The sequence below is a fragment of the Homo sapiens genome, chromosome 12, assembly GCF_000001405.40.
Source record: "Homo sapiens chromosome 12, GRCh38.p14 Primary Assembly".
In the NCBI taxonomy this organism is placed as follows: domain Eukaryota; kingdom Metazoa; phylum Chordata; class Mammalia; order Primates; family Hominidae; genus Homo; species Homo sapiens.
The window spans coordinates 7,990,954-8,006,634 of record NC_000012.12 but is presented as its reverse complement, the minus strand read 5'-3'; the positions used below and the strand labels follow the sequence as shown (position 1 = coordinate 8,006,634).

General features: G+C 45.8%; 1 pseudogene, besides 2 other annotated features; it reads left to right on the top strand.

Moving 5' to 3' along the window:
* Positions 10,975-11,896: an enhancer, noted in NCBI's record as "H3K27ac-H3K4me1 hESC enhancer chr12:8147335-8148256 (GRCh37/hg19 assembly coordinates)". NCBI's record gives its function as "activates a minimal SCP1, AML or CMV promoter by ChIP-STARR-seq in primed H9 embryonic stem cells {active_cell/tissue: H9 hESC(primed)}" and the evidence as "EXISTENCE:reporter gene assay evidence [ECO:0000049][PMID:30033119]".
* RPS20P28 (ribosomal protein S20 pseudogene 28) lies at positions 11,557-11,865 on the top strand (annotated as a pseudogene).
* Positions 13,010-13,899: an enhancer, noted in NCBI's record as "H3K4me1 hESC enhancer chr12:8145332-8146221 (GRCh37/hg19 assembly coordinates)". NCBI's record gives its function as "activates a minimal SCP1, AML or CMV promoter by ChIP-STARR-seq in naive H9 embryonic stem cells {active_cell/tissue: H9 hESC(naive)}" and the evidence as "EXISTENCE:reporter gene assay evidence [ECO:0000049][PMID:30033119]".

Below are 15,681 nucleotides of genomic sequence, written 5' to 3'. Positions count from 1 at the left end.
TGTTTTGTTTTTTTTTTCGAGACAGAGTTTCACTCTTGTTGCCCAGGCTGGAGTGCAATGGCATGATCTTGGCTCACCGCAACCTCCGCCTCCTGGGTGCAAGTGATTCTCCTGCCTCAGGCTCCCAAGTAGCTGGGATTACAGGAATGCACCACCACGTCCGGCTAATTTTGTATTTTTAGTAGAGATGGGACTTCTCCATGTTGGTCAGGCTGGTCTCAAACTCCCGACCTCAGGTGATCCACCCTCCTCAGCCTCCCAAAGTGCTGAGATTACAGGAGTGAGCCACCGTGCCTGGCTTTTTTTGTTTTTCTTTGGGTTTTGTTTTGAGACAGAGTTTTGCGCTTGTCACCCAGGCTGCAGTACAATGGTGTGATCTCAGCTCACTGCAACCTCTGCCTTCTGGGTTCAAGTGATTCTCCTGCCTCAGCCTCCCGAGTAGCTGGGGTTACAGGCGTGAGCCACCACGCCTAGCTAATTTTTGTATTTTTAGTAGAGACCGGGTTTCACCATGTTAGCCAGGCTGGTCTCAAACTCCTGATTTCACGTGATCCACCTCCCTCAGCCTCCCAAAGTGCTGGAATTACAGGTGTGAGCCACCGCGCCCAGCCAAGAGAATGTTTAGTGATTTATCCAGACCACTAAAACTTTCTCCATATCAGCAATACATCTGTTTCACTTCCTTATCATTTGTTTGTTCACTGGAGTAGCACTTTTAATTTTCTTCAAGAACTTTTCCTTTGCATTTACAGCTTGGCTAACTGTTTGGTGCAACAGGCCTTGCTTTTGGCTTATCTTGGCTTTTGACATGCCTTTATCACTAAGCCTTATCATTTTTGGCTTTTTATTTAAAACGAATGCTGTTTGACTCTTCTTTCACTTTGAATACTTAGATGCCATTGTAGGGTTATTAACTGGCCTAATTTCAATATTATAGTCTCAGGGAATTAGGGATGCCTGAGAAAAGAGAGGAGAGAGAAACGGGGGGAATGGCCAGTTGGTGGAGCAGTCAGAACACATACAATATATATTGATTAAATTCATTGTCTTATGTGGCTGTGGTTCATGCCAAAACAATGACAATAGTAATATCAAAAATCACTGATCACAGATCATGATAACAGATACAATAATAATGAAAAAGTTTGAAATTTTGCATGAATTACCGGAATGTGGCACAAAGATCCAAAGTGAGCTCATGCTGTTGGAAAAATGAGGCCAAGAGACTTGCTTGTCATAGGATTGTCACAAACCAATTTTGTAAAAACACGCAATAGGGGCAAACTAAATAAAGCAAAGCACAATAAAGCGAGAAGTGCCTGTAGTGTGGTCAGGGAAGCCCTCTTTACAGTAAACTTGAGCAGAAACCAGAATGACATAAAGAGCCGGCCATGAGGAGATCTGGAAAAAGAGTGTTTCAGATAGAGGGAAAGGCATATGTGTATTAGTCAGGGTTCTCTTAAAGGGAGAGAACTAATAGGATAGATAGATGATTGATTGATAGATAGATAGATAGATAGATAGATAGATAGATAGATAGATAGATAAATAGATAGATAGATAGATAGAGTTTATTAAGTATTAACTTACACGATAACAGAGTCCCACAATAGGCTGTCTGCAAGCTGAGGAGCAAGGAGAGTCAGTCCAAGTCTGAAAACTGAAGAACTTGGAGTCCGATATTCAAGGGCAGGAAGCATCCAGCATGGGAGAAAGATGTAGCCTGAGAGTCTACGCCAGTCTCTCCTTTTCACGTTTTTCTGACTTGCTTTTATATTCGTTGGTGACTGATTAGATGGTGCCCGCCCAATTAAGGGAGAGTCTGCCTTCCCCGGTCCACTGACTCAAATGTTAGTCTCCTTTGGCAACAGCCTCACAGACACACCCAGGATCAATATTGCATCCTTCAATCCAATCAAGTTGACACTAAGTATTAACCATCACAAGTCCACCCCTTGTCAACTTGAACTCATACACATCTCCTGAGATCATACATAATCTTCAACTAAGGACAATAATGGGCCGGGCGCGGTGGCTCACGCCTGTAATCCCAGCATTTGGGAGGCCGAGGCAGGTGGATCATGAGGTCAGGAGATCAAGACCATCCTGGCCAACACGGTGAAACCCCATCTCTAAAACTACAAAAAATTAGCTGGGTATGGTGGCAGGCGCCTGTAGTCCCAGCTACTCAAGAGGCTGAGGCAGGAGAATGGCATGAACCTGGGATGCGGAGCTTGCAGTGAGCCGAGATCGCGCCACTGCACTCCAGTCTGGGCGACAGAGTGAGACTCCATCTCAAAAAAAAAAAAAAGACAATAATGAGATCATAATTATGGCTAACATAATACAACTATCCTCCATACAACCAGAAATGCACCAATTCCCAGCCCAAATACTATTATATAAAGTTAACAATACTTAAATGCGGATATGAAGTCAGTAAATCTTATGTCACATGATAAAGGAAAAGGAAATAAAATGAAGATACTTTCTTTTTTTTTTTTTTTTTGAGACAGTTTCGCGCTTGTTGCCCAGGCTGGAGTGCAATGGCATGATCTTGGCTCACCGCAAGCTCCACCTCCTGGGTTCAAGCTACTCTCCTGCCTCAGCCTCCCAAGTAGCTGGGATTACAGGCATGCGCCACCACGCCCAGCTAATTTTGTATTTTTAGTAGAGATGGGGTTTCTCCATGTTGGTCAGGCTGTTCTTGAACTCCCGACCTCAGGTGATCTGTCTGACTCGGCCTCCCAAAGTGCTGGCATTACAGGTGTGAGCCACCACACCCGGCCTCAATAAAGGTATTTTCTTAGTACAAGTGTATACATGCACAAACATGTTTTTAACAAAAAAGGAGGAAATACTCATGACAATTACAGTCTTCGTTTCTGCAGCTGGTCACGTGATTGTAGCTGGTATTAATGGCTACCTTCTTTTTTTTTTTTCCCCGCCCCGAGACAGAGTCTTGCTCTGTCACCCAGGCTGGAGTGCAGTGGTGCGATCTCGGCTCACTGCAACTTCTGCCTCCTGGGTTCAAGCAATTATCCTGCCTCAGCCTCCCGAGTAGCAGGATTACAGGTGCCCACCACCACACCTGGCTAATTTTTGTATTTTTAGTAGACATGGGGTTTCACCATGTTGGCCAGGCTGGTCTCAAACTCCTGACCTTGCGATCCACCCGCCTTGGCCTCCCAAAGTGCTGGGATTACAGGCGTGAGCCACCGCACCCAGCTGACTACCTTCCTCTACTACCCATTCTGTATTCCCTGTGATTTCAGCAAGCACCTCAGCAGGTCGTCGTTTTTTTTCCTGGTGGACTGACCCAAGCCTTCATTCCTGAAGGGTCTGGGTCATCTGTAGTCCTCGCTGGATTGGGCTGTTGTAGTTTCCCATTGACCTTAATCACAGGGCATGATAATACTAAGAGACGCCCTAATAGATCTCCCGTGTTCCATGCATACTCTTCCTTACCTCCATTGTGGTGGAGTAGTAGACTAATTTCATCTTGATAGTCCAGGTGAATCATCCCAGCCAACACTGTAACTCCCTTCTTAGCCTGGTGACTTAAAGGAAGGAGTCCAAAGTGTCCAGGTGGCAATCTTCCAGTTTAACGGAATCGTTCTTGTGTCTCCTGGCAGCAGCGTTCCTCCCTCTGGAACTAAGACCTCTAAGCCAGCAGAGCATAATGTTGCGGGGACAGGAAGCAAAAATTTTGCTAGTGGATCACTAGGGGCGATGGTGAGTGGTGCCACTTCCACTTCCACTTCCACACCTTGATTGCTGGACCTGTGAATCCTGGCTATGGGAGAAACAGTACCATATATCGGACGCTGATTCAGAGCATACATGACCTTCTGGGGAACTTTGCCCCAGCCCTGCAAAGTATTGTCACTTAGTTGGCATTGTAATTCTGACTTCAAAAGACCATTCCACAGTCCTATCAATCCAGCTGCTTCAGGATGATGGGGAGCACCGTAAGACCAGTGAATTCCATGAGCATGAGCCCACTGCCACAGTTTTTCTTTTTTTTTTTCTTTTTTTTTTTTTTGAGATGGAGTCTTGCTCTGTTGCCCAGGCTGGAGTGCAATGGCGCTATCTCAGCTCACTGCAACCTCTGCCTCCCGGATTCAAGCAATTCTCCTGCCTCAGCCTCCTGAGTAGCTGGGATTACAGGTGCCGGCCACCTCACCCTGCTATTTTTTTTTTTTTTTTTTTTGAGATGGAGTTTCACTCTGTCACCCAGGCTGGAGTGCAGTGGCATAATCTCGGCTCACTGCAACCTCCAGCTCCCGGGTTCAAGTGATTCTCCTGCCTCAGCCTCCCAAGTAGGTGGGACTACAGGCGCCTGCCACCGTGCCCAGCTAATTTTTGTATTTTTAGTAGAGACGGGGTTTCACCATGTTGGACCAGGCTGGTCTCGAACTCCTGGCCTCAGGTGATCCGCCCACCTTGGACTCCCAAGGTGCTGGGATTACAGGCGCCTGCCCTGCCTCACTTCTTTAGCCATAAAGCGAGTGTCTCGGTCAGAGGCAGTGCTGTGTGGAATATCATGACGGTGGATAAGGCATTCTGTGAGTCCACGGTTGGTAGTCTTGGCAGAAGCATTGCGTGCAGAATAGGCAAACTCATATCTAGAGTGTCTATTCCAGTAAGGACAAACCTCTGCCTTTTCCATGATGGAACAGGTCTAATATAATCAATCTGCCACCAGGTAGCTGGCTGATTACCCCAAGGAATGGTGCCATATCAAGGGCTCAGTGTTGGTCTCTGTTGCTGGCAAAGTGGGCACTCAGCAGTGGCCGTAGCCAGCTCAGCCTTGGTGAGTGGAAGTCCATGTTGCTGAGCCCATGCGTAATCTCCATCCCTGCCACCATGGCCACTTTGTTCATGGGCCCATTGGGTGATGACAGAGGTGGCTGGGGAAAGAGGCTGAGTGGCGTCCACAGAACGAGTCATTCTATCCACTGAGTCATGCTATCCACTGAAGTAACACATTGGTGAGCACTCACATGGTATACAAATATCTTCACAGTTTTTGACCACTCAGAGAGGTCCATCTGCATGTCTTCCTCAAATTTCTTTGTCACCAATTTTCCAATCATGCTTCTTCCAAGTCCCTGACTATCCAGCCATACCATTGGCTACAGCCCATGAGTCAGTATATAATCGCATATCTGGCCATTTCTCCTTCCATGCAAAATACAGAGCCAGGTGCACTGCTCGAAGTTCTGCTCACTGGGAAGATGTCCACTGTATTTCAAGGATGTCCTAGAAAGGGGCTGTAGTGCTGCTGCTGTCCACTTTCGGGTGGTGCCTGCATATCGTGTAGAATCATCTGTAAGCCAGACCCTAGTCTTCTCTTCCTTTGTCGACTGATCATAGGGAACTCCCCATGAGGCCATCGGTGCAGGCTCAGGGAGAGAAGGCAGGGTGGCAGGAGTGGAGACCATGGGCATTTGAGCCACTTCCTCATGTAACTTACTTGTGCCTTCAGGACCTGCTGAAGCCCGATCACATATATACCACTTCCATTTGATGATGGAATGCTACTGTGCATGACCCACTTTATGGCTAGATGAGTCAGAAAGCAACCAGTTCATGACAGGCAGTTCAGGTCCCATGGTGACTTGATGACCCATAGTCAAACGTTCAGTTTCCGCCAAAGCTCAGTAACAGACCAGGAGCTGTCTCTCAAAAGGAGAGTAGTTATCTGCAGAAGATGGCAGGGCCTTGCTTTAAAATCCTAAAGGTCTCTGCTGTGATTCACCTATGGGAGTCTGCCAAAGGCTCCAGAGAGCATCCCTCTCTGCCACTGATACCTGAAGCATCATTGGATCTGCTGGGTCATATGGCCCAAGTGGCAGAAGCAGCCTGGACCTGTTGCAGAGCCTTCTGTTCTGGACCCCACTCAAAACTGGCAGCCTTTCGGGTCACTCAATAAATGGACCAAACTAACACACCCAAATGAGGAATGTGTTGCCTCCAAAATCCAAATAGGCCCAGTAGGCATTGTGCCTCTTTCTTGGTCATAGGAGTGGCGAAATACAGCAACTTATCCTTTACCTTAGAAGGGGTATCTCAGCCAGGTGCAGTGACTCATGCCTGTAATCCCAGCACTTTTGGAGGCCGAGGCAGGCGGATCACTTGATGTCAGGAGTTCGAGACCAGCCTGGCCAACATGGTGAAACCCTGTCTCTACTAATACACAAAAATTAGGCTAGGCACCATGGCTCACCCCTGTAATCCCAGCACTTTGGGAGGCCGAGGCGGGCGGATCACGAGGTCAGGAGTTCGAGACCAGCCTGGCCAACTATGGCAAAACCCTGTCTCTTCTAAAAAATACAAAAATCAGCCAGGCATAAGGGGCCAGGCACTGTAGCTCATGCCTGTAATCAGAGCACTTTGGGAGGCTGAGGCGGGTGGAACACCTGAGGTTGGAAGTTTGAGACCAGCCTGACCGACGTGGAGAAATCCCATCTCTACTAAAAATGCAAAATTAACTGAGCATGGTGGCACATTCCTGTAATCCCAACTACTCAGGAAGCAGAGGCAGGAGAATCGCTTGAACCCAAGGAGGCAGAGGTTGCAGTGAGCCGAGATTGTACCATTGCACTCCAGCCTGGGCAACAAGAGTGAAACTCCGTCTCAAAAAAAAAAAAAAAAAAAAATTTAGCTGGGCATGGTGTAGCCTGTAGCCTGTAATCCCAGCTACTTGGGAGGCTGGGGCAGGAGGATCGCTGGAACCTGGGAGGCGGAGGTTGCAGTGAGCCGAGATCGTGTCATTGCACTCCAGCCTGGGCGACAGAGCAAGACTCCATCTCTAAAAAAAAGGAATATCTCAATAGGCCCCACACCACTGGACCCCTGGAAATTTTACTGAGGTAGAAGTTCCCTGAATTTTAGTCGGATTTATTTCCCATCCTCTGGCACACAAATGTCTCACCAATAAGTCCAGAGTGTTTGCTACTTTTTGTTCACTGGATTCAATCGGCATAATGTCATCAGTGTAATGGAACAGTGTGATAGCTGGTGGAAGCAAAAAGTGATCAAGATCTCCCCAAATGAGGTCGGGCGCGGTGGCTCACGCCTGTAATCCCAGCACTTTGGGAGGCCGAGGTGGGCGGATCACGAGGTCAGGAGATCGAGACCATTCTGGCTAACACGGTGAAACCCCGTCTCTACTAAATATACAAAAAATTAGCCGGGCGAGGTGGCAGACGCCTGTAGTCCCAGCTACTCGGGAGGCTGAGGCAGGAGAATGGCGTGAACCCGGGAGGCGGAGGTTGCAGTGAGCCGAGATCGCGCCATTGCACTCCAGCCTGGGCAACACAGGGAGACTCCGTCTCAAAAAAAAAAAAAAAAAAAAAAAAAAAAAAAAAAAAGATCTCCCCAAATAAGATTATGACACAAAGCCAGAGAGTTGATATACCCCTGAGGTAAGACAGTAAAAGTATATTAATGGCCTTGACAGCTGAAGGCTAATTGCTTCTGGTGGGCCTTATGGACAGGAATGGAGGAAAAGGCATTTGCCAAGTCAATGGTTGCATACCAGGTACCAGGAGATGTGTTAATTTGCTCAAGCAATGAAACCACATCTGGTACAGCAGCTGCAATTGGAGTCACCACTTGGCTAAGCGTACGATAATCTACTGTCATTCTCCAAGATCCACCTGTCTTCTGCAGAGGCCAAATGGGAGAGTTGAATGGGGATGTGCTGAGAATCACCACCTCTGTGTCTTTCGAGTCCTTGATGATAGCACCAATCTCCACAGTCCCTCCAGGGATGAGATATTGTTTTTGATTTACATTTTTCTAGGTAGAGGCAGCTCTGTTGGCTTCCATTTGGCCTTTCCCACCATAATAGCCCTCACCCTACCAGTCAGGGAGCCACTGTGGGGGTTCTGCCAGCTGCTAAGTATGTCTATGCCAATTATGCATTCTGGCACTGAGGAAATGACCACAGGATGAGTCCGGGGACCCACTGGACTCACTGTAAGTCAGACCTGAGCTAAAACTCCATTAATTACCTTATCTCCATAAGCCCCTCCTTTAATTGGAGGACCACAATGATGTTTTGGGTCCCCTGGAATCAACATCAGCTCAGAGCCAGTGTCCAGTAGTCTTCAAAATGTCTGATCATTTCCCTTTCCCCAATGCACAATTACCCTGGTAAAAGGATGGAGGTTGGCCAGACACGGTGGCTCACACCTGTAATCTCAACACTTTGGGAGGCCGAGGCAGATGGATCACAAGGTCAAGAGTTCAAGACCAGCCTGACCAACATGGTGAAACCCCATCTCTACTAAAAATACAAAAATTAGCCGGGCGTGGTGGCACATGCCTGTAATCCCAGCTACTCAGGAGGCTGAGGCAGGAGAATCGCTTGAACTCAGGAGGCGGAGGTTGCAGTGAGCCGAGATCACACCACTGCACTCCAGCCTGGGTGACAGAGTGAGACTCCATCTCAGAAAAAAAAAAAAAAAAAAAAGGACAGAGGTCTCCTTGGGGAAGGATGGGAGAAAGATTCATTACATAAATGATCAGTAATGTAATGGGGTCCTTCCTCAAGGAGACCCGGTCTCCCCTTTGTTCAAGGGGTTCTGGGTCTGTAAACTGGCTCAGGTCTGGAAATCAATTGAGTGGCGGTGATTCTCTGATTTTATAATTCAAATTCATTTTTTGTCCACTAAATCTAGAAGTTTTCTGCTTGTATAAATTAAGTAACAATGCAGTAGGCTTCCTATCAATTTCACTTATAGGAACACTGTGATTAGCCAATGCCAGAGCTCTACAAGAGTCAGACTATTCTGATTGCCACTTTGCCTCTGCTGTTCATTATGGTAGCTACACCTACCTTGTCTTTGATGGTTGAGTGCCACCACTTGGCTCCTGCCACCTTGGCATCCAATTATTCCCATTGTATTTAATTTGTGTAGTTGAGTGACTGCGGTTCCCACTGTTAGATCTGACATACAGGCCGGGCGTGGGGGCTCATGCCTGTAATCCCAGCACTTTGGGAGGCTGAGGCGGGTGAATCATGGGGTCAGGAGTTCGAGACCAGCCTGGCCAACATGGTGAAACCCTGTCTCTACTAAAAATACAAAAAAAAAAAAAAAAATTAGCTGGGCATAGTGCTGGGGGGTGGGGGGTGGCTGTAATCCCAGCTACTCAGGAGACTGAAGCAGGAGAATCACTTGAACCTGGGAGGCTGTGGTTGTAGTGAGCCGAGATTGCACCACTGTACTCTTAGCCTGAGCGACAGAGTGAGACTGTCTCCAAAAAAAAAAAAAAAAAAAAAAAAAAAAAATTCTGACATACAGAGAAGAGCAATTACAGGGCTCCTCAAAGATGCAGGTACTGCCCTCACAAATCTATTTCACACGGCATTGGTCGAGGGTATATCTTCTGGACCTTCCCAGCCGGGATGAGTAGGTCTAAAGTGACTAACCCACTCCACCATCCCAATCTCCCTAAGCCTTTGGATCCCTGCCTCTACATTAAACCAAGGGAGATCAGGCATTTCCAGCTCGCTCACAGTGGGCCATCTTGTAATCCATATTTCAGCTAACCAAGCAAATAAACATTAGAAGGTTTTGTAACTTTCCGAGCTGCAACATTAAAAGCAGAGTCCCTACTTAGTGGGCCCAAATCAATAAATTCAGCCTGATCCAACTCTATGTTGCTTCCACCATTATCCTATACCCTTAATATCCGTTCCCATACCTCTTCTCCAGATGGCTGTTTATATAAATTAGAGAACTCAAACAGTTCTTTTCAAATGTAGCACACCTTGAGATAGAGTCTCGCTCTGTCGCCCAGGCTGGAGTCCAGTGGCGTGATCTCGACACACTGCAACCTCCGCCTCCTGTGTTCAAGCAATTTTCATGCCATTTTTTTTTTCTTTTTTTAGTAGAGGCGAGGTTTTACCATGTTGACGAGGATAGTCTTGATCTCCTGGCCTCAAGCGATCTGCCTGCCTTGGCCTCCCAAAGTGCTGGGACTTCATGTGTGAGCCACCGCACCTGGCCAAAAGTTGCGTTCTTACCAGAGAATGTGACGGGGGAAGGGAGTGCCCAGGAGTTGCTCATTTATGCAAGGAAGCGTTTAGGGTGATGAATCAAAGAATTTAAGTCGGGTGATGTGGAAAGTAAAAATAGAAGAGTGATGGGCAGTGAAAAGTTGAGAGGGTTAATAGTGTAGAGATCCTGCTTCTATCAAGAAATGGTTAGAGAGGAAGTGATGGTCAGTGTGAGATGCAAAATAATACAGGTTTTACAAGCAGCCTTTTTTTTTTTTTTTTTTTTTGAGACGAACTCTTGCTCTGTTGCCCAGGCTGGAGTGCACTGGTGTGATCTCAGCTCACTGCAACCTCCACCTCCCAGGTTCAAGCAATTCTATGCCTCAGCCTCCTGAGTAGCTGGGATTACAGGCACCTGCCACCACACCCGGCTAATTTTTGTATTTTTAGTGGAGATGGGGTTTCACCATCCCGGCCAGGCTGGTCTTGAACTCCTGACCTCGTGATCCACCCACCTCAGCCTCCCAAAGTGCTGGGATTACAGGTGTGAGCCACCGCACCCAGCCGAGCCCATTTATTATAAATAACCAGGGCTAGGGTATTAACCATGGGAATAAATGACTGAGGTGGACTGGAAAACAAGATGATTGGAAATGAGTGGACAAGAAACTGACGGCCAGCCTATTCGATGAATTGTCTCCATGCATCATGGAATAGCCAGGACTGATGACAGTAGGAATGGTGTAAACTAAGAGAATGAATCAGGCTTCTAAATTTTCAGAGAATGTGGGGGAAGTGACCCAGGAGATCAGCAGATTATTACAATATCCTGATGGCATGCACTGAAAAGGAGCTGAGTTTTTAGGGGATGAGCAACAGTTTGAAGTAGGCAAAGAGCAGCATCGTAAGAGTTACAAGCGAAATGCTGAACCTACCCTGTAGTACTTTCAGAGAAGTGAGATCCGCTAACTTGAAGGATCAGGAAGGGGATCATGGTAAAAGTGGCATTTATATGGACTTTGAAAGATGAAAAGAATTTTGTGAGAAATAGATTTGGAAAGATAATTCCAGGCAGAGAGATGCTACTACCAAAGAAGGAAGTGACACTGTTCTGCCCACGCCTGGTGCTTTTGCAAATCCGCCTCCAGAGCCCGTTGCTATGGTGCTAGTAACATCCTTGGTATTACCAGAGCTGGTTAGCAGTTGGCCACCAGGTGGCAGTGTATATCTTTGCGCCATCCCTCCCAGTACTGGCCTTGGAGAAAAACTGGAAGTGAGAATTAGCATAGGTGCAGCTGAGGTGAGATCAGTGGCTTGTGGATTGTGTATTTAGTTAGGCCTGAAGAAGCAAAGCCCTCAGAGAAGAGGATAAATTTGGGAACATTTAGGGAGAAGATCAGGGAGAAGATAAAAGGAAAGGAAATTGCGAGAGTATAATGAGGCCTGAAAAGTAGCAGAGGGCTCTAGGAGGGACAGCCATGTCCTCTTGGCCATTCCTTGAGGAACTAGTTGGAATAGGCACGCCGCCCTAGACTTTACAAAACTCCGGAAATACACTCTTGGAACCAGAGGTGACAATTCACTGAATGAGGATTACCCCAACCAGCCACAGCGGGAAATCCTTGGAGAAGGTGTGCGCTGATTGGATCAGAGACCCGAAGGGAAAGAATCCCAGCTTGAAGAACCAGTTTGAATGTCAAGACTCCAAGAATCACTGCAAGAAAAACAGCCTTGTGGTGAAGATTCTAGGATTTAGGATCATTTCCAGATGAGAATCCACAAATGACTCACACAGTCTTTCTGAGGTTGTTAAACAGATTGCTTCCATCAGTATTGAGTCAGGAATTGAGACTGCTCACCACTGCACTTACTTGTCAACTATTTTCATAAATATTAGTTGTTTAAAGAAAGCAGCAGCCAAAAAGAAGAACCAGAGAGGGGAGATGTGCAGATTGGCAGTGCAAGGTGAGGAATAGGCACTAGAGCAACATTGAAAGAGAGTTTGGAGCAATGGCCTTCTTCTTCTTCTTTTGGTTTGTTTACTCAGGTAATAATTAAAAAAAAAAAAAAACTATGTATTTCCTCTACACTGTTTGTTTTTTTTGGGGTGGTGGGACGAAATCTCGCTCTGTCGCCCAAGCTGGAGTGCACTGGCGCGATCGCAGCTCACTGCAACCTCTGCCTTCCGAGTTCAAGCGATTCCTTCCACATGTTTTTAAGTGACATCTAAGAAAATTTTTTTTGTGTTTAAGTAGCTTCCAGGGATTAATTTCTGCTGTCCGGTATTTGGTATACATGCTTTCAGGGCCATTGCTAGCTTTTCCAGTGCCTTTCTGCAAATTAGGCAAAGGTGCCCTTCTGGGAAAAAGCAGGTTTTCTAGGAATGGTACCCCTGTGTAAAGAAAAATGTGCTCCTTCCTCTGGATGAGGAGGAGAGCCTGGCCAGTGGATTGCAGGCTGTATTTCAGCCTCTACATATCCCACAAAACTGCACAACGAAGTTTCAGCCCTTCACTTGTCCCCAAAGCTGTACAAACCATACACAAAAGCTTTGTAGATTTTAAGTTAAAAAACAAACAAACAAAAACCTTGGCATACAGACAAAGATCATTCAGTTTATAGAAATATAAACTAAATGACAAAGCTACTGTTTGTAGGCAAACCTGTGAGCCAAATCTTTTGGCTTTGGAAGCCTGACTTCTTTTTTTATCTCAAATAAAAATATTAATATATGTCCCTATAACAATTATCTTCTTAATTTTTTTTTTTTGAGACAGAGTTTCACTCTTGTTGCCCAGGCTGGAGTGCAGTGGCGCAATCTCAGTTCACCGCACCTTCCGCCTTCTGGGTTCAAGGGATTCTCCTGCCTCAGCCTCCCAAGTAGCTGCCACCACGCCAGGCTACTTTTTGTATTTTTAGTATAGATGGGGTCTCGACATGTTGGCCAGGCTGGTCTCAAACTCCTGACCTCAGATGATCAGCCTGCCTCGGCCTCCCAAAGTGCTGGGATTACAGGCGTGGGCCACCGCACCATTCCAAAACAAATAAATCCAGTACTACTTCAAGTGTGGTGGTTATCTATGGATGACTGACATCAGCATCTTCAGGGAGGCTGTTAGACATGCAAATTCTCAGCTCCACGCCAGATTTGCTGAGTCAGAATCTCAGCAGAATGGGATCAGAAAATCTGTATTAAGAAGCCTTTGAAGTGACTCTTAATGACTGCTAAAATTTTAGCAGCATCAGTTGGTAAGCAAACCCTAAGCAAAGTTCCAGAGTATAAGGTTCTGCTCCATTTAATAATTTCCATCGATGCTGTCACAGTGCTCTTCCTCAGCAGCCGTGCACTCTTAAATTGTTCTTCTTGCACCCTGGTAAAAGTTTAAGATGCATTAGAGATAGTTTTTCTTTTTTTTTTTTTTTTTAACACGGAGTCTCACTCTGTCGCCCAGGCTGGAGTGCAGTGGCGCGATCTCGGCTCACTGCAAGCTTCGCCTCCCGGGTTCACACCATTCTGCCTCAGCCCACCACCTGTGGTGGGACTACAGGCGCCCACCACAATGCCCGGCTAATTTTTGTGTTTTTAGTAGAGATGGGGTTTCACCGTGTTAGCCAGGATAATCTCGATCTCCTGACCTCGTGATCCGCCCGCCTCAGTCTCCCAAAGTGCTGGGATTACAGGGGTGAGCCACCTCGCCCGGCCGCACTTTATCTAATTTAATCCTCCTAACAGCCTATTGGGTGGAACAGAACTTTAGCAACCTGTTTAAGATTGTTGGATAAAATAGTGTTTTGTTTGTTTGCTTTTTAGTATAGCTATGTCTCAAACATTATATGGGACATATTTATGCTTTAAAAAGTATTCATCTTTGATCTGAAATTCAAATTTAACTGGATATCCTGTTTGTTTGTTTGTGCTAAATCTGGCAACCCTACCTATTTCTTTTATCCATCATCTTAAGAAATTACTTTCCTTCAAAACATATCGCACAACTTTAATTTTCTAGCTAATATTATTTTGTCTTGCTAATGATGTTCAGATTGTCAGAGAAACCAAAAGGAACCAATGTTTTAGATAGGTTTTTTTTGTTTTTGTTTTTGTTTTTGTTTTTGTTTTTGTTTTTTTGAGACGGAGTTTCACTCTGTTGCCCACGCTGAAGTTCAGTGGTGTGATCTTGACTCACTGCAACCTCCGCCTCCCAGATTCAAGGCATTCTCCTGCCTCGGCCTCCCGAGTAGCTGGGACTGCAGGCACGTGCCACCACACCCAGCTAATTTTTGTATTTTATTTTAGTAGAGACAGGGTTTCACCATGTTGGCCAGGATGGTCTCAATCTCTTGACCTCGTGATCTGCCCACCTCGGCCTCCCAAAGTGCTGAGATTACAGGCGTGAGCCACCGCACCCAGCCCCGATAGCTTTTATAGGAATCTCCTGAAGGAACTATAGGATAAATCCCAGAAGTTTAACTTCTACTATTCCCAAATGTATCTACGAGTCTCAAATCCTCAATCCTAATTTTAATTAAGAATTGTTTACGAAAAAAAGAGTTGCTTAGGTCTCTTTACAAATGAACCTTGTGAATAGATATGTTGGTGATATCTTACAATGGGAATTGTAAAATTTTAGAACTAGATATAGAACTAGAAAAACCTTGCAGATCATAGTTCTTAGTGTTCCCAGAAACTAACTCTGAAACTTAAGTATGAACTGGTGTCTCTAGGCAATAGAGGACTTTGTAGACAGGGATTCCTGTACCTACTGCCTGGGGGTTGTCAACTTGCTTCAGTTTTCCCCTTGTCTTGCCTATGCTCCCTCCCAGACACCTCTTCTGTTTTTCTTAGGCTTTAAATCTTATCTGTGGCTCCAAAGTGGCTGCAATAGAAGCCAAACAGGAGAGGGAGAGTGATATGGATCAATTAGAAATGAATATAAACATGCCCCAGACATGGGGAAATCCCCTTGGTGAAAACTGTGAAAGGTCTGGGTAACAATAGTTCATTCCAACATGGCAGAGAGAGGGAAAGGCGAGACAGGCTTCTTGCAGGGGATGGACATAAAGTTATTCATAGTTATTCCAAGACCAGTAGGATTCAAGGTCAAAAATGCTAAAGAAGAAGGAGCAAATGCCAAGTTGTCAGCACTTGATCTTGTAGTGAATATGTACCCTTGCCTCTGTTGTGAAGAAAGAAACTTAGACTGGCTCAAATATTTGTTAGAAGATGTTCTCCTACAACGAGGGCAACCAGACTTCAGAAAGCCTCTTCCGTACAAGCAGATAGCACGTATCTAGAAACGCAGCAATGGCTTTAAGACATAAGAATGTGGTATCTCTCCATGAGTATACAGAGAACAGTGCCAGGAGGGCCCAATATATGGTAATTGATCATTAAATGTTTATTGAATGAAAACTCCAAGGTCAGATTCTGTGTTACTTTTCTTGCTTTGTCATAGCTCTTTCTTTTTTTTTTTTTTTATCATAACTGTGCCTATGTCCTATTTTTCCCATCTGTGTTGAGTAAAAATGAAATCAAACAAGAAATCATGAGATGTGCCTCTCAAGGAAGTGTACTGGAAAGCTGAAGTTTGCATTAGATGTACTTTTGCATTAGATGTACCTGAGATTCTGAGCCACTGCCAGTACTTCAGTTTCAGTACTCGTCATCT